Source organism: Homo sapiens, chromosome 1 (genome assembly GCF_000001405.40).
Source record: "Homo sapiens chromosome 1, GRCh38.p14 Primary Assembly".
Classification (NCBI taxonomy): domain Eukaryota; kingdom Metazoa; phylum Chordata; class Mammalia; order Primates; family Hominidae; genus Homo; species Homo sapiens.
In genome coordinates this window covers 210,376,539-210,400,963 of record NC_000001.11, presented here as the reverse complement: position 1 = coordinate 210,400,963, position 24,425 = coordinate 210,376,539, and the positions used below count along the sequence as shown (strand labels likewise).

Below are 24,425 nucleotides of genomic sequence, written 5' to 3'. Positions count from 1 at the left end.
TCTCTTTGTTCCTGACCCTCTGGCCCTGTGACATCTGGCACCCCACATGCCCACCTAAACTGGGAGAGATGGTACAGGGCCAGCCCTGGGCAATCTCACAGGGCTAAAACACAGCCAGGAATGATAGGATTGCAGAATGCACCACTAGGGTTCACTTGTAGCAACCCTGTACGGCCACTATGGGGAGCCCCATCACAGTTCTACAATCATCTCTTGTCTGAAAACCAAGGTGTCTACTGGGATCAAGGCAAAGCCAAAGGGGCCTTCTCTGGATTCCCAATGGTAACAGGAAAACACTTACCTTAACTTCTTCCACACCCTGCAGCCTCAGTGTGGAGAGGAGGAGGAGAGAACAGAGCCACGTCAGGAGCTGAGACCGGAACTGGGCCACGCAGAAAGAGATGGTGGTATGGAGCAAAACCATAGCCACACCAGGGGTCCCCAGCACACACCAGCAGGCCCACATCCCATAGAGCATGAGAATCCAGGGTCTGTGCTGCAAATGGTGGGGCCCATCCAGAGAGAGACAGGGAGGAAGAGGGGAGGGAGGAAAATAAACAGAAGTGAGCTCATGGAAGTGATATTGAAGGTTCTACATGTAAGAGGATCACGTTTAATTACCCAATAAAGAAACTCTTATCACTGCCCTGGGAATTTTGGTACAACACAGACAAACAAGATTCAGAGGGACTTTCCACATTAACCCCCAGAGTCCCATCAGCTCCACCCAGAAGCAAGTAACCACTCTCCTGCCTTCAACCAAAGCCACCCAGACCCCTGGGTCACACAACAATAAGATATTGGATTGACTTTTCAACAGACACAATGGAAGCCAGAAGACAGCTGGAAAAATGCCAACTGGACCACATCCCACATACAGCATCCTTCAGAAGTGAAGGTGAGAGAAAGTATTAGTACACATTTCTAGGAAGACCTATTAAGAAAACTGGGCCATCCAAACCACAAAAGACTTTCCAAAGTCTAAGCCAGAGATTTTAAATATGTAGGGTTTTTTTGCATTTTTGATTTTTTGCATATTGATTAGTCAAATTTATGTCATAGAAAAATTGCATCTTACCTGCTTTATGAGCTATTGAGGACTTTGCATAGTCTACCTGATTGATACATTTATTCCCATTTTAGGAGAATCACAGATTTTTATCTAATCATCAACTAATTTATAGTTATCACATTGAATAAGTAGATGAATTAACATGTCTTTGCTTTATGATATAACCTTGGTCAGACCTGATGGGGAAATCCTTAAAAACCACAATGTTTTAACTTTGAGACGCAAGGTATCATTGTGGTTTAATGATTCAAGCTTTGAAGTCTAACTGCCTAAATTCAAATGCTGGTGTCTCATAACTACCTGTGTGACCTGAGGCAAATGACTCCATCTCTGTGGATTCATTTCTTCATATATAAAACTGGGATATCCCAGCACTTTGGGAGGCCGAGGCAGGTGCATCACCTGAGGTCAGGAGTTCAAGACCAGCCTGACCAACATGGCAAAACCCCATCTCTACTAAAAATACAAAAATTAGCCAGGTATGGTAGGTGACTGTAATCCCAACTACCCGGGAGGCTGAGGCAGGAGAATCCCTGGAACTCGGGAGGCAGAGGTTGCTGTGAGCCGAGATCGCACCATTGCACTCCAGCCTGGGCAACAGAGCAAGACTCCATCTCAAAAACAAAACAAAACTGGAATAATAACAATATCTCCTTCATGGGGTGGATACACAGGAAGGACTCTACAAATACAGTTGTTATTCCCATAGGGAAATGTGATGTCTCACGGGCATGCATTTTAAAATGTGGATCCCAGGAACCACCGAATTGAAAAGTGATAAGTGCCTGAACTTAGGTCGTCTTGTGGAAACAAAGACTTTTTTCAGGGCAAGACAGGTGTGGAGTGTAAATTGCAAATCCCGTGCTTTGATGCTAACTCTTTCAAAATATTGCCTACCTACCATTCTTTCCCAAACCTATACTCTAGCTCAAGAGAACATTTTAAATATGAGACTAGATCAGCCATTTTTAAGTTCCAAGAAAACCAGAGAAATGTGAAGTTCATTTTTACTATTTTTCCATCCTACTACCCACAGAAAACAGCCACATAAATTTGCTTCAAACCCTCACCTCTGGGCAGAGTCCAATTATAAGGAATACATGGCCAAAGACTATTTTAAGAGGTAGTTTTAACAAATGAAAAAAAGGGGCTTCTTTTCCAACATGACCTACAGCATTTACCAATGGAATTCTTTTTTGTGCATGTGTGGCTACATACATAGACACAGTTATGTTTTTATTAAGTGCTATTTGATCCCTTTGGAAAAAGCCTGTTTGCTGGGATTCGTTTGGGAACTTACCACAGACTGAAGCTGCTTCAACTTGGAAAATGCTGAAAGAAGCTTCAGGAAATACTTGATAGTGCTGTGTAAACCCCATTTACTTGAGAGACTATGATGAATTTAACAGTGGTCTCCAAAGCCACCTTGGGGCAGAAAAATTTGTCCCATATTCATCCCCCACTGTTTCCCTACTGCCAAACAGTACAGGCAGACGACACTTAATACTGTTCTAAGACATCACAGGACACGCTCTCACATGAGCCTCATGTTCTCTACCCATCTTAATATTACCCATTGATTCTCCCCAAGTACAAGCAACTCTACTATATACATTCATGATGCACAGGCAATGAAAAGATGTGAATAATGCAAAAAGAATCACCTACACGAAACTGTTGTATATATTAGAATCCCACTAAAATGTTGATTTTCATACTTTGTCTATAAAAATGCTATTGGAATGAATCCTATCCCCAAAACACCATTAAAATACTGCAAGAGGAGAATCGCTTGAACCTGGGAGGCAGAGGTTACAGTGAGCCAAGATCGCGCCATTGCGCTCCAGCCTGGGAGACAAGAGTAAAATTCCATCTCAAAATAAGTAACAAACAAACAAGTAAATAAAATCCTGCTAGAGCAGAATCAGCCTCCCATGTCTTGCAATCCAACTGGCATCATGGCAGGGCAGTCCCCATTATAGAGGTAGCCCTTAGGGCACAGCTGCCCAACCACGATCCCTCCCATGCACATACCTAGATCTCAAGCACTATGAAGAGGGTTCTAGGATAAAAGGGTGACATGGCCCAGCAGGGTGGGCAGCAGCATGGACGGCCTGCTTCTTTGGGCAGCAGAAGAGCTTTTTCTAAGCATTTCAAAGGCCAGTTTCATCAGCAAAGGCCTAAAGATAGCCCTGTCCCATCCATCTCTACTCCAAATGTGCTTATGTATTTATCAACCTTTTTTCTCTCTTAAGTAAAAATGCTTAACTATCAGTATTAAGCTTCTGACATCAACCAGGCCAGAATTTTTTTAACTTTTCAAAAAAAAAAAAAATTGTGTTGCATTTTGTTCCAAAACAACACTTCTGACTCATCACTAGAAAGGCTTTCAGATTTTTTTCCCCAAGTTCTCAGGGTAATAAGAGCAGACATACAAGATTTGGTCACACACATACTGTACGTCAAACTCAAGTTTAAAAACCCACCTAAACACCAAAATAGCCCAATTCATTTAAATTACAAGGTTCAAATTATGAAGATGATTGGGAATTACTTGTTACTTGAAAGAAGACAAAGAATCACATTGATCACATAAAGTGTATAGGTAAAACATGGCCTCAATGTTGGATTGTGATGTTTCTGATTTACAGATTCCAGTTGCATACAACTTTTATGTAATGTTCTTTCTCAGATTTTTGAGATAGTTGTATTCACATATACATACAAGAGACATCCCTTGTATACTTTACCCAGTTTCTTCCTATGGCACATTTTTTAAAACCACAAATATCATAACCAGGATATTGATGTTGCTGCAATGCACCAAACTTATTCAGATTTCTCTAGTTTCACTTCTATTAATTTATGTGTGTGTTTAGTTCTATACAATTTTATCACATGTATAGGTTTGGTATCTACCATGGTAAAAATGCAGAACAGCTCCATCACCACAAGGATTCCTTGTGTTGCCATTTTATACCTCATTTACCTCCTTCCCACTCCTCTGATCACCCCCATCCCTAATCCTGACAACCAGTAACCTCTTCTCCATTTCAAAGATTGGCTTTTTTCACTCAGCGTAATTTCCTGCAGATTCATCCAAGTTGCTGTATCAATGGTTTGCTCCTTTTCATTGCTGAGTAGTGTTCCATGATGTGGATATACCACAGCTTGTTAGCCATTAACCTACTGGAGGCTATCTAGGCTGTTTGCAATGTGGGGCTATTACAAATAAAACTTATGCAAACACACATGCATAGATTTTTGTGTAAAAATAAGTTTTCATTTCTCTGGGATAAATGCCCAAGATCACACTTGCTGGGGTGCAAGGTAGTTGCATATTTAGTTCTATAATAAACTATAAAACAGTTTTTCAGCATGGCTGTAGCATTATACTTTCCTGCCAGCAATGCATGTGTGATCCAGTTTATTCACATCCTTGCCAGCATTTGGTGCTGTTACTATGTTCTATCTGAGCCATTCTGGTAAGTGTGTAATGACATCTCGTTGTGGTTTTAATTTGAATTTATCATGCTCTTTTAAAAGGTATCAAAGCATGAGTGACCTGAAGCTTGAGATGAGCTTGCTGGAGCACAGGATGACAGCCCCACCGGAACTACTCTGACCCTCACTCAATGGTCTTTATTCCAGGTTCTTCCATTTCTAATAGGAGATGAAACAGAAAGCCGGGGAAGAGGGGAAGTGTTTAAAAGGCTGATGAAAAATAAGAAAGTATACTCTATTTTTACAGCAGTGGAGACAAAGCCAGACTGAACGCTATGGCCTTTTTGATGAGACATAGATCTTACTAACCCTGGTTGACTTAAGCAGGCATCCTTCCCCTCTGCTCCCTGAGTCTACACTGAACCACTCTCAAAATGGGGTCTGACTCTACTTGATAGTCTCCTTAATAGGCTAAACTCCTGCCTTGTTTAGATTACAGTAATGTAAGCCCAGAATCTAGCACAGTGCCTAGCATATATCACGTGTTTCATAACTATTGGATGGAAGGATGGAGAGAATAGTTGCATGGATGGATAGCTGGGTAGATGGATATGCTTTCCCAAGTCTTGGGATTTAACCTTGAGATCATGACTAAGAAAAAACAAGAAAATAGCAGTAAAATGTGGACTTTGGAACCCAATAATGTGAAAACCTACTGTCTTCCAAAGTCTCTACTTGTCCTACTTAACCCCTTATAAACAATGGCTGTTTTGCTAATGTAGGTAGAATGGAAGAGACATTTCACATCTCACTGCCTATTACCTGTTTGCTACTCACAGCATCTCTTAACAACTCCACTTCTGTTGGGGGAAATCTCCAATAGTTAACAACTGATGGGGCACAGGTACCAATCCAGGAAAGTGGATACCTGTTATAGAGGCTTCTATCCATCACCCCAGCAGAGTCTCCCGGGAGAATAACCAGTTGAGCTGGCAGAGCTCCAAGGATTGGTGTCAGTGCCCTTAAGAAAAGACTACAGATTTGCCCTCCTTTCTTTTGAAATCCATACTCTTAACCTTCTTCATAAGGAGTCAGGAAAAACTGCCAGACAATGCCCCTTCTCACACCATCTGTTTCTACTTCAGCTCATTCTGTGCCAAGGGTGCCAAGTGATAATAGGGTATGCCTGGTGGGTTCCCTCCTTAGAGTTTACCTCTGTAGGGAGGAGTGAAAGTGTAGAGCCTTGGTCAGAATTCCTGTTGGCAACATTATCAGACGTCCCTGCCTATTAATTCTTTTTGCACATCTGCCAAGAAACCACTCAATGGGAGCATTATTCGGAAAATAATAAAGGGAATCAATCAATCTTATGTATGACACAATTTATTACATACTACATAATCAATAGCAGCTGCTACTGAAATATATATGTATTATATATATACATACATATGTATATATAATCTCCCCAAACAGAAAAATACAACCCACCCATCCCACAGTCTGAACAACTGCATCCCATTTCCTGGGAGCAAAGGCCAGCAGGCCCACGTAAAAGGAATTTCATCCCTCCTTAGACATGCACTGATGGAGGTAGAAGGGGCTGATTCCAGGAAAACCATTAGCACATGAGATTTCTATTCAGTGGATAGATTTGGGACTGTCCTGGAAAAGAACCCTGCTCCCTGCAGCCTTCCAGAGGTTGGTTAACTCATCTCACTCAGCACCATGGGTCAGGCTTCTCAGCCCTTTGCATTACCTGCGCCTGATGAGCTCAGCCTGTCAGTCAATTGCTAATGATGTGGGTTCTCCCGTCAGAGGCACAGTGAGAACCCGGCTCTGTGGTTAGCAACAGCACCCACCCTCAACCCTACACCAGGCCAGTCTTCTCAAAAAGTTCACACGGGGGTATTTTTTGGTTCTGAGGGCAGAGAACACAATGTCTCAGGTGGTAGTGAGGCCACAGTTGGCGTTCATGAAAGGAGGCAACTGTCTGACCCGTGACATCCAATCCAATCATAACAAATGCACAGCCAAAGCTGAAAGCCATGATTCAGCCTTCCCTCCAGGGGCACTGGCTCCTGATGAAGTCTCACCAAAACCCAAAGAGAGAGCCTTATCCAGGGAAAGGGTGTTTAACTGAGCCAAGGAACTCAGTGGAAAGTTTTATTTCTTACCATGGCAAAAAAAAAAAAAAAAAAAAAAAAAAAAAAAAAAAGATAGATCATGCTTTTGAAAATAAAAATAACCTGTCACCTCTCCATGGGAGGAGGTGGAATGAGCCAAGGAAGAGACGAGATTAGATAGTAGATAAAGGAGGAGGCTAGAATCCTTCAGGGCTTAAGGCTACAACAGCAAGAATTGCTAAAGCCTGTCCCTGCATAGTGTTGCCTATAGTTTAGGATGCCTCAGAGAATGGGGAGAAAAAAGGACAACTGCAGCCTAAATCTTCCACTCTGAGTAAGTACCAAAAACAACTACCCGAATTAAGGCCATCTGGAACACTTAGTCCAGGTGGTGAAAGCAGAGAGCTAATGAGGCCAACGCTGTGGTTCATACTTATGTAAGGGCCAAGCAAACTCAGACAAAGAAAGCACTGTGCCCCAGCCACAGGCAGAACCCGGCCCACCAGCTGTCTCACAAATCAAACCCGTGGTCACCCAGAGGATGAGAGAGGCACATACAGAGGGAGATGACTCAGTGCTCACTCTGCCTCATTCCAAGAAAAATGCAAAGGAATACCTCCTACTGATATTGGATAAGATGTGCTCTGCAGAGAAGAAGCCTAGTCCACCTGTCCACCCCTGCCTGGTAACAAGATGCAGAAAGGTGAAATAAGTAAACTCCATTTCCTTCAAGCCACAGCTCAAAAGCCACCTTCTCGGAGGCCTGCTCTGAGACCAGAACGGCAGGTGAGACCTACACCTTCTCCCATAGTAACGTGCCCAGCCAACAACATCAGGTACAGAAGAGTGAGCAGTATTTGCTTTCCTAACTTCCCACTCAACTGTGACTCCCCAAGGGAAGGGGCTGTGTTTCTCAATCCTTTCCCCCAGGACCCAAGACAAGCTTGAAAAGACCATCAGTATGGGAACATTGGTATGGATGCTAGACATGGCCTATGCCCTTGAGGATTTTGGAATCTCAAGACCGTCACCTCCATTCTTGAACACCATAAACTGCTCCCAGGAGCAAATGCCAGCAGATGACAGCAGCAGACACCATCTATTGGGCTGTCCTCATGTGCAAGCATAACTCTGAAAAACATTTGATTATCAGACCCTCTCCACAACTCCACGAAGCCAGCAGTGCCATCCTGCTTGCACAACTGTGGAAGCAGCCTTAGAGATATTCAGGAACTTGTTTAAGGTTACACAGCTTGAGAGTGGCCAATGCAGGGATTGACCCTAGTGCTCTCAACCACACCAAATACTGCCTCCCACGAGAGGAGAAGCAAGAACTCAAAGGTACAAGCAAATAAAATGAAGGGACATCTATATCCTAATATAGCTAGATTTCTGCCAATGTCAGGTGCGAAACAGGAGCTGAACGTGGAGGAGGTTTGGAAAGAGGGAGGGGCATCTAATCAGGAACAGGTTATTAATATCAGTCATGCATTCTCAACAAGGGTTGTATCTCCTATAAACGAGGTGGGGTGGGGCAGATTTTGTAGGCTAGACCTAAGGATAGAATGGAAATTAAAATTAGTAATGACTGGGCATGGTGGCTCACGCCTGTTATCCCAGCACTTTGTAAAGCAGAGGTGGGAGGATCGCTTGAAGCTAGGAGTTTGAGACCAGCAAGACTCTATCTCTATTATTTTTTTAATAATTTAACATTTGTAGAAGATTAGTACTATATTTTATCTAAGTTTTAGGTTACTTGTCAGTTATCAGGGGCTAGAAAACCTTACTCCTTATGCATAAAGCACAGACATACGCACAGTACATGAAGAGATATAAACAGGATATCTGTAGTATTAAAATTTCACAGAGGAGAGATGATCAGGGAAAAAAATTATCTAGAAAGGTGCCCTGGGGACAATACTGAAAAAAATTTAAGAAACACTGATCTACAGGAAGCAAACAAGGAGGAACAAGAACAAGGGTGAGAGGCAAAGGAGACCCATCAGAGGAGGCCATGTGGGTCCTGATGTGTATGGCCCAGAGACGTGGGGAGGACAGATGAAAAACACAGTGTCCCCAGGGCAACTCCCACCTTTCCTTCTGCCCATCATTTCATTCTTCCATGTGTTCAGTTAAAAATATATGAAATATCCGGCCAGGTGCAGTAGCTCATGCCTGTAATCCCAGCACTTTGGGATGCTGAAATGGGAGGATCACTTGAGGCCAAGAGTTTAAGACCAGTCTGGGCAATACAGCAAGATCTCGTCTCTACAAAAAGTTTTTAAAATTAGCCAGGTGTGGTGTCACAGCCTGTAGTCCAAGCTACTCGGGAGCTGAGGCAGGAGGATTGCTTGAACCCAGGAGTTGGAGGTTACAGTGAGCCATGATTACACCACTGCACTCCAGCCTGGGCAACACAATGAGATCCTGTCTGTAAAGGGGGGAAAAAAAAATCACATAGCACTGGTGGCTGTAGGGTAGGCCCCTCTTTGGCTTTACTATATAATGTGTTACTAAGTAGTTATACAAATACATATTCAACACCCTTTCTGTATGAGTTCAGGCAGCTAACACTGATATCAGGGGATTTTTGTTTTGTTTTTGCCAAACTAGAAAGCATAGAATGTTATCTTATTGTAGTTTTAAGATGCATTTGTTTGATTACTAATGAATTTAACATTTTTTCATGTTTATTCATCATTTATGTTTCCTTTTCTACAAATTCCTCTTCATATCTTGTACCATTTTTCTATTGAGTGATTTTGTCTTTTTTATGAAATTTATTCCATATGCCAATCCTTTGTCAGTTTGCAAATTACTTCTCCACTAGTGACTTGCCTTTCCACTTTTCTATTGTGTCATTAGATAAAAAGTTTTTAATTTTAGCGTAGTTAAATTTATCAGTGTTTTCCTCTATAATTTGCACTTTTTGTGTCTTGTATAAAAAAATCTCTGTCTGTGCCAACATCAATATTCTATGTCATATTTTCTAAAAGTTTAATACTTTTGATTTTCATTTTAACTCCTTAATTCATCTTGAAAATTACTGTGAGATAAGTATATGTATACTTTCTAGTTTGACAAAAGTAGATCTTGTTTTTATTGCTTTTCAACTTAATTTCCATAATTATTAATCCATAATTAAAAGTCAAAAAACAATAGATATTGGTGTAAATGTGGTAAAAAGGGAACACTTTCACACTACTGGTAGAAGTGTAAATTAGTACAACCACTATAGAAAACAGTATAGGAATTCCTTAAGGAACTAAAAGTAAAACTACCATTTGATCCAGCAATCCCACTACTGGGTATCTACCCAAAGGAAAAGAAGTCATTATATGAAAAAGGCACATGCACTTGCATGTTTATAGCAGCCTAATTTGCAATTGCAAAGATATGAAACCAATCTAAGTGCCCATCAACCAATGAGTGGATAAAGATAATGTGGTATATATACACCATGGAATACTACTCAGTCATAAAGAGGAATGAAATAATGTCTTTTGCAGCAACTTGGTTGGAGCTGGAGGCCATTGTTCTAAGTGAAGTAACTCAGGAATGGAAAACCAAATATCCTATGTTCTCACTTATGAGTAGGAGGTAAGCTATGAAGACGCAAAGGCATAAGAATGTATAATGGACTTTGGGGCTTTGGAGGGAAAGGTTGTGGGGGTGAGGAATAAAAGACTACATATTGGCTACAGTATACATTGCTTGGGTGACAGGTACACTAAAATTTCATAAATCACCACTGAAGAATTTATCCATGTAACCAAAAACCACCTGTACCCCGAAAACTACTGAAAGAAAAAAAATCTCTCCCTACAATAATAGACCTATCTTTATGTTTATGATCACTTTTTGCTTTATATATTTTGAAGCAAATAAACTTAGAGTTTTAATATCTTCCTAATAAGAAACGAATTCTTTATTATTAAACAGCAGCCCTCTTTGTCACTAGTAATGCTCTTTGCTATTAATAAAACTGCACCAGTAGTTTGTCAGAGGGAGAGGGGGTTTAATATTTGCCTGGAATATCTTTTCATACCTTTTACTTTCAAATTATGTGTCCTTCTGTTTTAAGGATATCTAGCTAAGAAGAGCCTCTCTGAGCTCTGTTTTGGTTTTTGTTTTCCTCTATTTCTCTTTCTTTTTTTCATCTAGTCTGACAATCTTCATCTTTTTTGAGAATCCACTTATGTTGATTGCAATGACTGACATATTTAAACTTACTTCAACCATTTCTTTTATGCTTTCTCTTTGTCCCACTTTTCCATGTTTCATCTTTACTTTTAAGGATGAAATGTCTAACCAATGAAGCTCATCATATTTTAAAGGGAGAAAAAAAACTAATACTATCTTATTGATCCTATTTTACAGAGGACAACCGCTGTGGTTTGAATGTTTGTCCCCTCCACAACTGGTGCTGAAATTTAATCCCCAATGTGGCAATATTGTGAGGTACAGCCTTTAAGAGGCAATTGGATCATGAGAGCTCTGCCCTCATTAATGGATTAATTCATTCATCAGTTGTATTAGTCTGTTTACACACTGCTATAAAGAACTACCTGAGACTAGGTAAGTTATGAAGAAGAGGTTTAATTAACTCACACTTCCACAGACTTAACAGGAAGCATGACTGGAAGGCCTCAGGAAACTTACAATCATGCCAGAAGGCAAAGGGGAAGCAAACATATCTTACCGTGGCAGAGCAGAAGAGAGAATGAGCAAAGTGGGGAGTGCTAGACTTTCAAACAACGAGATCTCATAAGAACTCTATCAGGAGAACAATAAGGGGGAAGTCTGCCCCCATGATTCAGTCACCTCCCACCAGGCTCCTCCTGCAAGACGTGGGGATTACAATTTGACATGAGATTTGGGTAGGGACACAGAGCCAAACCATGTCATGAATTAATGAGTTATCACGGGAGTGGGACTGGTGGCTTTATAAGAAGAGGAAAAGAGACCTGAGCTATCATGCTCACCACGTGATCTCCTGCACTGCCTCAGGATTGCCGCGATGTCAGCAAGAAGGCCCTCACCAGATGTGGTGACTTGGACTTCCCAGCCTCCATAACTGTATAAATTCCTTTTCTTCATAAATTACTAAATAAGTTCATTTTCTTTATAAAATTACTCAGTTTTATGACTTCCCAGCCTCCATAACTGTATAAATTCCTTTTCTTCATAAATTACTAAATAAGTTCATTTTCTTTATAAAATTACTCAGTTTTATGTATTCTCTTATAAGCAACAAAAATGCACTAAGACCATAAATGAAGATGCAGTGAAAACCTTTGCTCAGGTTAGAAAGCTAATCGAACCAAGGACCAAACATGAGTAATACAATGTCTAGCACTCTTCCACTATGCAATTAACTTAGTACAATCCTCAAAGTACATCATCTTCCCCTCACAGAGGTAAAGAAAAACAGGTATGAAGCTATTTATTTTACATACGGGAAAACTGAGACTTATGGTAATAAGTCATTTACACATGGATGGGAAAACTTTGTTACGAATTAAAATGTTAAATTTCCAGAAGTTTTGAATTCTTGGGGAAAAAAAAACTAAACAGAAATTTGTGGGAGTAAAGAAAACCATTAATGAGGGCTGAGGTAGATATATTTATTACTAGCTTAGGAACAAAAAAAATTATTATTAGGTCTGCTCACAAAGTTAAATGAAATTTTAAAATATACTCAGATCTGACAACATCTAATATTTTGGATTTTGCCAGTTCAGCAGCCACTTGAGTACAAAAAAAAAATCAGTATCATATTCAAGAAGAAGTTAATATGCTGTCGGGATTTCCTATCTTCCAGGGTGAGGAGCAAGCCCAGGAAACGCCAATTTTCAGGAAAGAGTCAGAAACTGGCCCAAGTTAGGTGCGCATCTCTAACCACAGGACATCCTATTTCTGCATCTCACTTTCTGGTCTCAATCTCCAGAGGTTTCTGTTTCTCTTCTACTTCAGTTTTATCACCTGCGGGAACCTCTGAGAATCAAAACATTTTTCCTAGGTTGACTTCCAAATCAGGTTTTGGTTGTGTCTTGCTTTTATTCGGTAAATTTCCAAGCACAGACTTTTTCCTCCATCAGGAATCTATAGCAAGCAAGAAGTATTTATCAGAGGCCTCTGGGCAATACCCTGGCCCCCAGGTGACAGAAAGATCCTCCTGGCAGTATATCAGGTCCCTTGGTAGCTAGACCTGTGAAGAGGGTCTCAATCCTGCCTCACATAAAAGTAGTTTTCAAATAACCACTTTGAAGAATCTCTCATCCTCTAAGCCAGCCCAAGGCAAGAGCAAAATGCTACTGGACTTCCCATCTAAAACAGTGACAGCAGCATAAACTACTTGACTTTAAAATTATTCCCACTTCTTAAGTAAATCATCAACTTTCTTCTGAATTTGCAAGTGAACTCATCCAGATTCTCAACCACAGGCAACTTTTTGATCATTTGATTAGAAGTGATCTTAAAGACCACCACCACCCTCCATGGTTAGTTTTACACTACAACCTTTATATTCAATGCCTGAAAATAAGTTGGAGAAAGCAAGTGCAGGATATGAACTATGAACTTTTATCTTAAATGTTATATTGATTGTTAACAACTTTATCATTTTTTCCAGGCTCCCAGTGCTAATATCCAAGTCTTCCGATTCCTAGCTTGGACTCTTTCTTCACAAGAAGCAAAGGAAAAACACACTTAAAAGGTAACAACACATATAATCATACCTTTCTTGCCAGCAGTGTGGCCATTTGAGACACTACCATGTGGCCAAGGAGAAGCCACACCAGCCACTGCTTCCCCCATTCCATCCAGAAGCTCCACTCAAAGTCGGTCGCATCCTAAATAGGACAAAATAGTTTATCAGAGGGATTTCAGTACACGTCTGAGTCAGAACACAAACTCCAGTTAATAAAACTGGAAAGAAGGCCAGTGTGAGTCCAAACTCTGTAAAAGAGGATTTACACACTTCTAGCCTTTCCCCACCCACCTGTACACTCCCCTCCAGCTTGCTATTAGTAATGGCAAAAACTGCAATTACTTTTGCACCAACCTAACCGGAATGATTGCCATTGCCATTCCCCAAATGCACCTCGGACTTTCTACAACTCAGTGTCTTTGTTACAGCTGATCTCCCAGGGCCCTCTGTAGTATAGATGCTATTATTATTTCCATTTTGCAAAACATGAAACAGAGACGTAAGGAACTCAATTCATTTACCCAAGTTCACAGGGATAGTACAAGTAATGAATTGAGGCTATCCCAGTTTAGACAACTAGATATTTTCACTGAGAAATGTAAACTGGACACTAATAAAATGGCTTAAAGTCAGTTATTCTGAGTCTTGTTGCCATTTACAGACAGAATAATTTGTCAGAGAAATTAACTAAGTTCATATAAATTTATAATGAAGGAATGAAAGGTACACTTCCCTTCCCCCCAAGAAGCTCTGTGTCCATGTGGCATTCTGTGTCTGCATCAGTACCAGGTTCCACATCTATGAAGCTCCCCAGGAGGAGAAGGTAGAAACCTCTGACAACAGTGGACATGTGGACGCTTAGGAACCAGCACCTCAAAGTCATGGCCTCAGGAGCCCCAGAAAGGACCACGGAGGCCAAGAGGAGCGTGGAGAGATGCACACTGTCATCGGTCACCCTGAAACAGGCAATGCAGGCTTGGCCAGTGAACAGTTCAGCACTACCAGGATGGAGGGGGATTTGAGGTCTCAGAATTTTCTAAGCAAAATGTGTGCCTGGAAAAGGACTCCTGCAGGCCGGGCGCGGTGGCTCACGCCTGTAATCCCAGCACTTTGGGAGGCCGAGGCGGGCGGATCACGAGGTCAGGAGATCGAGACCATCCCGGCTAAAACGGTGAAACCCCGTCTCTACTAAAAATACAAAAAATTAGCCGGGCGTAGTGGCGGGCGCCTGTAGTCCCAGCTACTTGGGAGGCTGAGGCAGGAGAATGGCGTGAACCCGGGAGGCGGAGCTTGCAGTGAGCCGAAATCCCGCCACTGCACTCCAGCCTGGGCGACAGAGCGAGACTCTGTCTCAAAAAAAAAAAAAAAAAAAAAAAAAAGAAAAAAAGAAAAGGACTCCTGCAATGACCACTGATATTGAACTCCTCACCAATCTCTGCAAGTGGAACTTGAAGCCTCTCTTAATTGGATTTGAAGAAAAGTGTGATTTTTTTGGTGTACCTAAGATTGTGGGGTAATGTCATACCAGTTGCACACAAATAAAACTCTTTTTTGCAGAAGGTAAGATACATATAAAATTGATCTTGATTCATAACAGACTATGAGTGCAAGGTAGCTAAGACTGGAGGCTTGTTTTGGGTCCAGAGCCCAGATCTACTCACACACTTGCTGTGATGACCTTGAACATGATTCTTAACCTTTCTGTTCTGTTTCTTCATATGACAATAGTACTTACCTTACAGGGATTTTTGAGGCTTAAATAAGAGCATATGTACATTAAAAGTTTGTAGCAGCACACAGTGCTATTAAACAGCAGTACCCGCTACTAACTGCTAGACCCATGTGCTTCCCATCCCTTGTAAACCACCAGCCAAGACCGTATCATGCTTTACTTTGTGCCACTCATTTTAAAAAAGTTTTCCCATTTCTTCAAATAAGGAAATACAATACTGCGCATTCTCAGATTACACATGCTCCCCACACCCCAGATCCTGATACATGACCTGCTCATAAAGCCCCTGTCCCTTGCTGGAAATCATGTATGTAGTTGAATTGCTTCCATTTAGAGATGACTACACCAGAGTCTGGGACATGCCCACAAACACACAGCCAGGCAGCACAGCAGAGAACTCAAAGCTTTAACCTGGCTCCTGATCCCTGATCCACAGCTTATTTCCCCATCTAGAGATTTCCAAATTAGCCAAGAGTCAATTAACTAAACAAATGTAAATAAGTTCAAAGGTCATGTGATGAGGCCATGCTAGTAAAATACCACTTTTATAACAGGGATACAGCTAAAAGACACAAAAGCCAAGACACTTTTTTAATACAAACTCAAAAAGAAAAAAAAAAAAAAAGAAAAACATATGAGCTTTTTAAATACAACATTTTTGAACACTTAGAATTACATTTAGAATTCATGACCCCAAGCTTACCTATGCCTCGAAACTTCTCCAAGTTTAATTTTTTAGGGTGGAAAAAAGGATATAATACAACAAAACATATAAGACTTTCTGTTCCACCAGAAAGTCCAGGACTCCTGAAAACTCTGCTGGTAAAATCCCATCAACAAAAATTACACATGGCCTTTCACCTCTAATTATCACAGAAAACATTCATTTAAAGGAAATAAAAATGTCTCTCTCATGTCTATTCTTCCCTATTTAAAAAAGTTACCTAAGGGAAATGACCAAACAGAAAAGCTGGGCCAATGAATAGGTCAAGATGATGTTTAATGATTTGGGTAAGAAAAATATTGACTCACTGCTTCTTGAAGCAAAAGCTTTATAGACTCTGAGCTCAGTCACACATTTCAAGGCAAACATGAAAGCCTGAAATCAGGAACAACATCATGATCTGTCCCTTCCCCCATTTTCTTTCTTGCCTCCATGGTTATTAGTCAATTAGGAACCTCTTCTTTGGCACTCTAAGGGGGTCAGATATAAACTGGAGCTAAATCTCAGCCAGGCAGAACTAGGCAGGCTTCTCCATGGAAGCAGGGAGGCTGTACTCCAAGGAGAAGTCACCCACATCCAACCTCAAAGTGGACACAAGCCACCTATGCATCTTGCTAAAATGCAGATTCTGATGCAGTCAATCAAGGGTGGGGCCTGGGATTCTATATTTCTAACAAGCTTCCAGGTGATGTGATACTACCAGCCTGGGGACCAATCTACATGACTGATTATGCCTTCCTACAGCTGAATGTTCATAAACTCACAGAATCCTTAACAGCTCAGCCCGCCCCGTACCATTCCCAGGCAGGGAGGGCACATACTCCGAAGCTGCTACCTAACACTCACCAACAGAGCAGTCATCCTCCCGTTCACCGTTCAAAGCTCTGGGCACCCAGACTTCGGAATTCACTGAACAAGTTAACAAATGTGGTTGTTTATTCTGAGGCTTACATTCTGCTACCAGGTAATACTAAGGACTCTGAGAGACATGATTGTTCTGGGTTTCTTAAATAGTAACTCTAACGTCCTAGCAAAACACTTTTTCCTTTCTTAACAAAGGAAAGGGTCTGGGCCTAGTGTTTGTAACTGCCTCTTTTCCTACCCACAGCAGAGTTCTGCTCTAGGCACCATGAGGAGCTCAAAGTCTAAATAGGAAGACCCCCAGCACCAAGACCACCACACCCCACAATGAAGACACACCAAAAACCCACTGCAGAATGAGAGGGGTAACAGTGCTGCAACTCAACTTCATATGTCAGTGAAACTGACAGACCTGTCCTTTCTTCCCAGTCACTGATGAACACTCGAGTATGTGTTTTCTAATTACAGCCTCATAACAATCTTTAAAGTAGCTCAATTTGTTTAACAGACCTTATCTTTTAGAGAGTTTTCAGTTCACAGAAGAATTAAGCACAATGTACAGAGAATTCCCATAGACCCCTTAACCCCTCTCCATCAGCATCTCCCACCACAGTAATATATTTGTTCCAACTGGTGAACCTACATTGATACCCCAAAGTCCATGGTTTATATTCGGGTTCACTCTTGATGTTGCATATTCTATGGGTTTGGACAGATGTATAAAAACACATATCCACCATTATCATATCATATGAAATAGTTTCACTGCCCTAAAAATCCTCTGTACTCTACCTCTTCATCCCTCCCACCCTGGCCCTGCTCCCCTCAATCCCTGGCAAACAATGATCTTTTTACTGTCTCCATATTTTACTTTTTCCAGGATGTCATGTAGCTGAAATAAATAAGTTTTGGGTTTTTTTCTTTTTATTTCGTCAGTGATTTGAAGCTCTTTTTTGAGACAGTCTCGCTCTGCTGCCCAGGCCGGAGTGCAATAGCACAACCTCGGCTCACTGCAATCTCTGCCTCCCAGGCTCAAGTGATTCTCGTGCCTCAGCCTCCCAAGTAGCTGGGACTACAGGTGCATACCACCACACCTGGCTAATTTTTGTAGTTTTAGTAGATACGGGGTTTCACCACATTGTCCAGGCTGGTCTCGAACTCCTGACCTCAAGAGATCCACCAGCCTCAGCCTCCCAAAGTGCTGGGATTACAGGCATAAGCCACCGTGCCCGGCCTGAAGCTCACTTTTTCTTTTTTCTTTTTTGAGTAGTTCTGTCTAACTCCGTGTTACAAATGAGTTAACTGGAGGTCAGAGAAAGCAGATTATTTATCCAAACCTAGTAAGGGGCAGAGCCGGGTTTCAAACCTAGGCCTGTCTGAAGCCAAGGAGGAAACCCTTTTCTGAGATGTTTCTACTCATGCTTGTCCCTGTACCTGGACTTTCTGCCCTTCCCACCCCTTTGCCCCACAACACTATTTGACTAGGCAATCTCCAACCTAGAGTGCACCTCATTTATGCCCCGTAACCACAAAGCCAGCCCAGTGACATGCACAAAATACTCACTAAATGGTACAATTCAAATGTCAGCTCCAGAGTGAAGCTTTCCCATACCTACCTCCCCAGGTGGACCTCATTGCACTCCCTTCTCCGTCATCCACATCTCAATTCTAGAACTTTTATTATGGCATATTTATTATATCACTTTTATTCCTGTATTTTCTCTCTGGAGGGAAAAATGGATCTCTCTGAGAGCAAGAACCTTGACTTAAATCTGTCTCCTAGATGCCCAACATTCAGCAAGCCTTTAAAATGGCGAGGAGCAGGAACGGAGCCAAAAAATCAGCCTATCTAGTACTTGTCACATTTCTCCCTCTGTTTAAACTTGGAAAAGTCACTTAACTATCTGGGATTGAATTTCCTTGTGTGTAAAATGAAGGGCTCCACTAGCACAATGTCTAAGATTCCTTTCAGAAAATGGGAAAGACAATTATTTTCTAGGCTAAAGGAAAGAAATACTAAGAAAGTGCTTGTCACCCACCCGTGGAGAAGGGGTCGTCCCCTCTTCTCACACCCCTATGTCACTAGGGAAGAAAGTTACAAGAAAAAATTCCTGGCAAATGAGGACTTGCCCTAGCAACTCACCACTGAGTAAATCTTTCCTCCTTCTAGCCTTGAATTCTCATCGCCCTTAAACCTTGCCAGATCACAACTCACTCTCAGCCTCTTAGCTGGAGTACTGTGTTGTTATCACAAGAGATGGCTAAAATTCTGGTTCTGTGCTTTCTCTTGCATTCCCCAGAAAACTGAGGACTATTCTCCAGCTGAAAACAACACAAACGCATAGCTAATAAGGCCTGGTCAATAGACTAAAATGTAAAGTACCAAGCCAAGTGCCAAGGCACTCACCGAGACGCCCTAAGTGAATGAGAGAAATTCACCCTGTAGCCACATCAGTTAGCTCAGTCCACCAGTTCTTCAACCCAGATCCCTGGTCCCACTGTTTTTGGAGTCTTTTTGGATTTTTTTTGTAATCAGTCCATGACCTGCTGAATAGTTCCACTGTTTATCTCCTAGTGAGATGGGTCAGGAGCACTGTTTTATTATGTCTATGGATGGTATTTGCAGATAGTTTGCTATCAGCTCAGAAGTTTACATCTACAAATGAAGCAGAGTCTAAGAAAGGCCATGGGTAAGCCTTAAAAATGATTTGAGGCCGGGTGCAGTAGCTCATGCCTGTAATCCCAGCACTTTGGAAAGCTAAGGTGGGTGGATAGCTTGAGGCCAGGAGCTCGAGACCAGCCTGGCCAACATGGTGAAACCCCATCTCTACTAAAAATACAAATATTAGCTGGGAGTGCTGGCGCATACTTACAATCTCAGCTACTCGGGAGGCTGAGACATGAAAATCACTTGAACCTGGGAGGTGGAGGTTGCAGTGAACTGAGATCATGTCACTGCACTCCAACCTAGGTAACAGAGCAAGACTCTGTCTCAGAAAAATAAAAGTAAAAAATTTTTTTAAATGACCCACTGCATAATCATTCAAATCTTTCAATAAATTTTATTAAGCATCTAGTATATGCTGCTTCATATAGTCAATCACAGCATATCAATTAGGCTTTGTTATCCAGGAAAGTCTTGGAGTTACTGCAAAATCGTTTTCCTCCCCGTACTATATGCTAGACCTACTTCAATTCCGCAGACTGTGCTCTACTCACTTCTACCCATTTAGCCTTATTCCTTCCATTCCATGCTCCCTACACAGCACCAAAGTAATATTTTTAAGAGCATATTTGATCATGTTATTTCCCCCACTTAATATTCTTCATGTGCTCCCCTTAGCATTCCAGAGAAACTTCTCAGTGAGACTCATGCAGTTCTTCATAAAATGGCCCTGTCCCCCTGTCCACCCTTCCATCGTCGTACCTAACCTTCACTGCCCCCACCATCCCACATTACAACTGCATTGACCCCTCTGACCCCACAGCACCACATTCATGCAGCTGGGCCTCCCACACTTTGCTCCCTCTATTTGGAAAAACCATCACTGAAGCATCATGTGAATGAGGACATATCTTTCAGGTCTCAGCTCAGGCAAGCCTTCTCCCAGGAAGCCTTTAGTAGTCCATCCATTCAGCCTGGACTCGGTGTCCCTTGCCTATGCTCCCACAATATGCCACTACGGTTACCTGTAACAAAGCAACTTATCCCATTGTGCTTTTTAAAATTTTATTTTATTTTATTTATTTTTTGCGACAGAGTCTTGCTCTGTCGCCCAGGCTGGAGTGCAGTGGCATGATCTCGGCTCACTGCAACCTCCGCCTCCTGAGTTCAAGTGATTCTCCTGCTTCAGCTCCCAAGAAGTTGGAATTACAGGTGCACACTGCCATGCCCAACTAATTTTTGTATTTTTAGTAGAGACAGGGTTTCACCACGTTGGCCAGGCTAATCTTGAACTCCTGACTGCAAGTGATCCACCCTCCTCAGCCTCCCAAAGTGCTGGGATTATAGGCGTGAGCCACCAGACCCAGTCCCCACTGTGCTTTAATTACAGGTTACTGAGCTGTCTCTCCACTAGACTGTGAGCTCCTTTCCGACAGGGTCTACATATAGATTAAGCATTGTATTCTTCAATAAACAGAATATATTAGATACTCAATAAAAATTTGAAAAATTTGAATGATTATACAATGAGTCAAACTATTTTTAGGAACCTGGTATCAGCACAGTCTACTGGGAAAGAGGGAGAAGAGATACCAAAAGTGGAGCATCCGGTATCTGCCCTAGAATGCCTTTATAACCCCAGGTAGGGAGAAAATATAAGCTCACAGAATAGTTCCAGTGGATGATCTTCTCTGCAAATTATCCTGACCAACTCAAGGCCCACTCTCCGAAAAATCAATTACTGACTCTCAAGCCATGGCCAAAGTACAGTAGTATTACAATAGAGGACCCATTTCATATTTATAAGAAACACATAAACTAAAGTATGGAGAACACTTGGAATACAGCCAGGAATGTATGAAGTATTATGTCCTTGTTTGTTCAGTAAATATGTAAATAAACGAACAAACAACAAACTCGATTTTACTTTGATAGGCCCAGAAACACAACTCCAGGAGTTTTCAAGCTGCATATCCTGAAACAGTTAGAAGCACTCATAGTTAAAATATAAGAATTCAGCTGTTCAAGATCCCAAACCCAGTCCAAAAGAAGGAAAGAAGAAAGTTCTAGAGACTGTGGACTGAAAAGAAGTGAGCCCACGGTTAACAAAAAGGAACTTCAGCATTCAGGAAAGCAACCATCTTAACCTTTTCCTAAGAAGAAAATATCTGCTTGTACAGCAGGTACTGCCGATTAACTCAACCATGACTATTTACTCCTCTCTAGCATGACTTCCTACACATTACAGGTTAGAAGGTTGAAAACTAAATATCCCAGAATTCCCTGTAGCTGGCAGGTCTAAAAATGGCTGAGCTTCTCATGAACAAATACAAACACTATGACTCTCAGAGTAAAGAAACAATGTATGGTCTGTGAGACTTCTGAAGAAAATGGTGGCAGAGACCCTTTGGCTGTTCTGCAGCAGCCATGCTGGAGATTCTGGGGTCCAGTCAGTTCAGAGATGCTGAAGCTGTCAGATGTGGCACCAGAGCCCTAGGTTCTCAAGCAAGGAGCTATGTGGCAGCAGATGTTGTGTACAGTGGCTCTTGGAACTGTTTCTGGTAGCTCACTTAGTGCCTGCTCCTACAGGTTTTTCTATTATTCTCAAATGTCTTTAAATCCCTGCAATAATTCTCTTTTTAAAATAACTGCAATAGATTCTGCTGTCTGCAATGGAACCATGACTAACATACTACGGAAGAAATGTCTCCTCTGATTGGAATCCAGCTCCAGCTTTATAACAAAAGCATTATGAAAACAGTTCACTTTGAAGAACACTAGTCTGAAATAAGTCTATTCAATGGAGGAAAATGAAATGGAAGAAAACACCAGCTAGGTCAACCCAATGAATGCTCAAGAACTAGGTAATGATGGCAGTGACTGTTTGTTAGAATACAGTCACAAATGCATTTATGTATTTCAAAACCAAAAGATATGTAATGTTCTCTATACAAAAAAAAAAGATAAATGTTTCAGGTGATGGATATCCCAATTACTTTTATTTAATCATTACACACTGTATAGAGGTATCAAAGTATCACATGTACTCCAAAAATTTATACAACTATTGTATATCAATTTTTAAAGAAAAACAAGGAAATGACCTACCTTACCAACCAGTTTATATTTTTCATTATTATACCTCTTTTTCCTTCAGAGAAAACAGTATAGAGCTGAATATATTTACTATTTTCCTTATCCTTATATCTAGCAAGTTGTAAAAATAAAATACTACAGAAATACTATACATGTTTCTGTACCTATTTCCTAAATAGCATTATTTGCTTATTGTTTACTTTGAGACCATATATAATTTCTAATTACACTGAGTAAGACTTATCCAAGATCAGGGAAAACCTTTATAAGGTTCTTGAAATCATAAATGTTTCCCTGCACATTCAAAGGCAGCAAACTGACCTTAATGGCCCGTAAATCTCCAGACAAGAAACACAAAAGGAGACTAATTTTGTAAGAATTCTGCACAAAAGAGGCACTGCTCTCCGAATGAACTCAGGCTAATGATTCATTGAGCAATTATTGGAAGAGTTTTCTTTTTCCTTCAACAGCTGCTTTTCTATTTCTAAAAGAATTTGAACTAAATCATTTTACTGCTTACAATTTCCAGAGACAACACTCTCTCTCAATCAATACTTTCTTAAAGATAAAATGCTTCCACTAATAAAACCTTTTTTTCTGTAAATAACAAAGTCCCTACTGAAACATCTTCACCCTCCTGCATAGGTGAAGTTGCTTGCAAGGGCAGGGATGCTGCCAACAGGACAGGCACAGGCTGCCCTGTTCTACTGTGTACCATTCCCAGCCTCTTCATTGCCCCTCGCCACAGAAGCCAGGCAAATTGGTCCAGTGTAAAATGGTAAAGGGGAGGTGTTTTGTGGGAGAAGAAAAGAGAAAGCCTCTTAAGAGGGTTTAATTACATCAAGAGGACCTAATTAACATGGGTAAGTTATTTTGCGTATCTTCAGCCCAACTGCCAACCTAAACTCAGTAACATCCTCTGGTCACAACTCTACCTACTGACCTGTTTCTCAGAAGTCACTTTGGATTATGCAGGAGAGCAAGACTGCAGAGTCTATTCGGTTTAACTTGAATAGATTCTGTCTCCCTGCTCTGTCTATGCCATATTCCCACCTTTCCTTTCCTCCTAAAGCCAGCAAAGAAGGAATCAAATGCTTAAAAAGAAATATTAAGTTTCAGGGTGAAGTTGAAGGCACAAAACTGTATTATTTTCCCCACATCTCTCAAATTGGAAAAACACTATTTTCTACACAGCATATGGAAAAAAGAGCTATAAACAATGAAAAAAGGTGATAAACAAATTGGAGATGATGAAAAAAATGTAATAGAATGAGATGACTAGAGAACAAATTACACAGAATCATGATTCCTCAGCTTCAAACTATGCTAATAAATCACACATACCATTAGTGTCACTTTCCCAGAATATCAAAAAGACAAAGTGAGTCACAATAACGTGGAAGGAAAAAAGATCCCCAGCCTGTTGGGGGCCACAGCCCCTAAAATGATCCTCACACTCAAAGAACTTACTTTATACTTAGGAAGTCTTCACATATGCAAGAAAGCTGATTTGTACAGAACATCTCTGCAGTGGGCAGACATAGCAAACTGGAACTCCACATGGAGTCCCAAAATGTTGGAGGCCCCCAGGGCAGAAGGCCAATTAAAGAAAGTGTGATCTCAGAGAGAAAAAGGGAGAACTAACATTTTTGCCATCTATCTAGGGGAAGAAGAAGGGAACCCTCCATAATCCCAGCTACCACCTTTCTACTTTACACACTGCCTGAAAGACCAGGGAAACAGGTGAGCAGAACTATGCTGGAGTTCTCCCATACATCTTTACATCTGTCCCCTTTGCCCATTAGCTGCCCAAGCTGTCCAAGAGACACCTCCCCACCCAGCGCACCCCTGAACCCACCAGCCGTCACAGGCAGCCCAGGGGCCTGGGAGACTGGGAATAGAGACAGAGAAGAACGAGACCAAGGCTCACCACATCCTCAGGGCACACTGCCCCATCCTTCCCCCACAGTCCATTACTTCCACCATCTTTCTT

The 24,425-nt window shown here is 41.4% G+C and overlaps 1 protein-coding gene across 18 annotated transcripts in view, besides 1 other annotated feature; it reads right to left on the bottom strand.

Moving 5' to 3' along the window:
* The window catches only part of HHAT (hedgehog acyltransferase), a 348,963-nt gene that overhangs the window by 275,327 nt on the left and 49,211 nt on the right, over positions 1–24,425 (bottom strand). For 11 of the 18 annotated variants that reach the window (XM_047424804.1, NM_001122834.4, NM_018194.6 and 8 more), the window contains 2 exons: positions 13,383–13,496; positions 302–496 (listed from right to left, as the gene is read on the bottom strand). In XM_047424804.1, the coding sequence (XP_047280760.1) occupies positions 302–496; positions 13,383–13,496 (309 nt within the window). The remainder of the gene's footprint in view (positions 1–301; positions 497–13,382; positions 13,497–24,425) is intronic. The other 7 variants (NM_001170564.3, NM_001170588.3, XM_047424806.1 and 4 more) reach the window with 1 other exon arrangement.
* Positions 6,965–7,259: an enhancer, noted in NCBI's record as "tiled region #10816; HepG2 Activating DNase matched - State 8:EnhW, and K562 Activating non-DNase unmatched - State 24:Quies". NCBI's record gives its function as "activates a minimal TATA promoter and a strong SV40 promoter by Sharpr-MPRA in HepG2 cells, with weaker activation in K562 cells {active_cell/tissue: HepG2 | K562}" and the evidence as "EXISTENCE:reporter gene assay evidence [ECO:0000049][PMID:27701403]".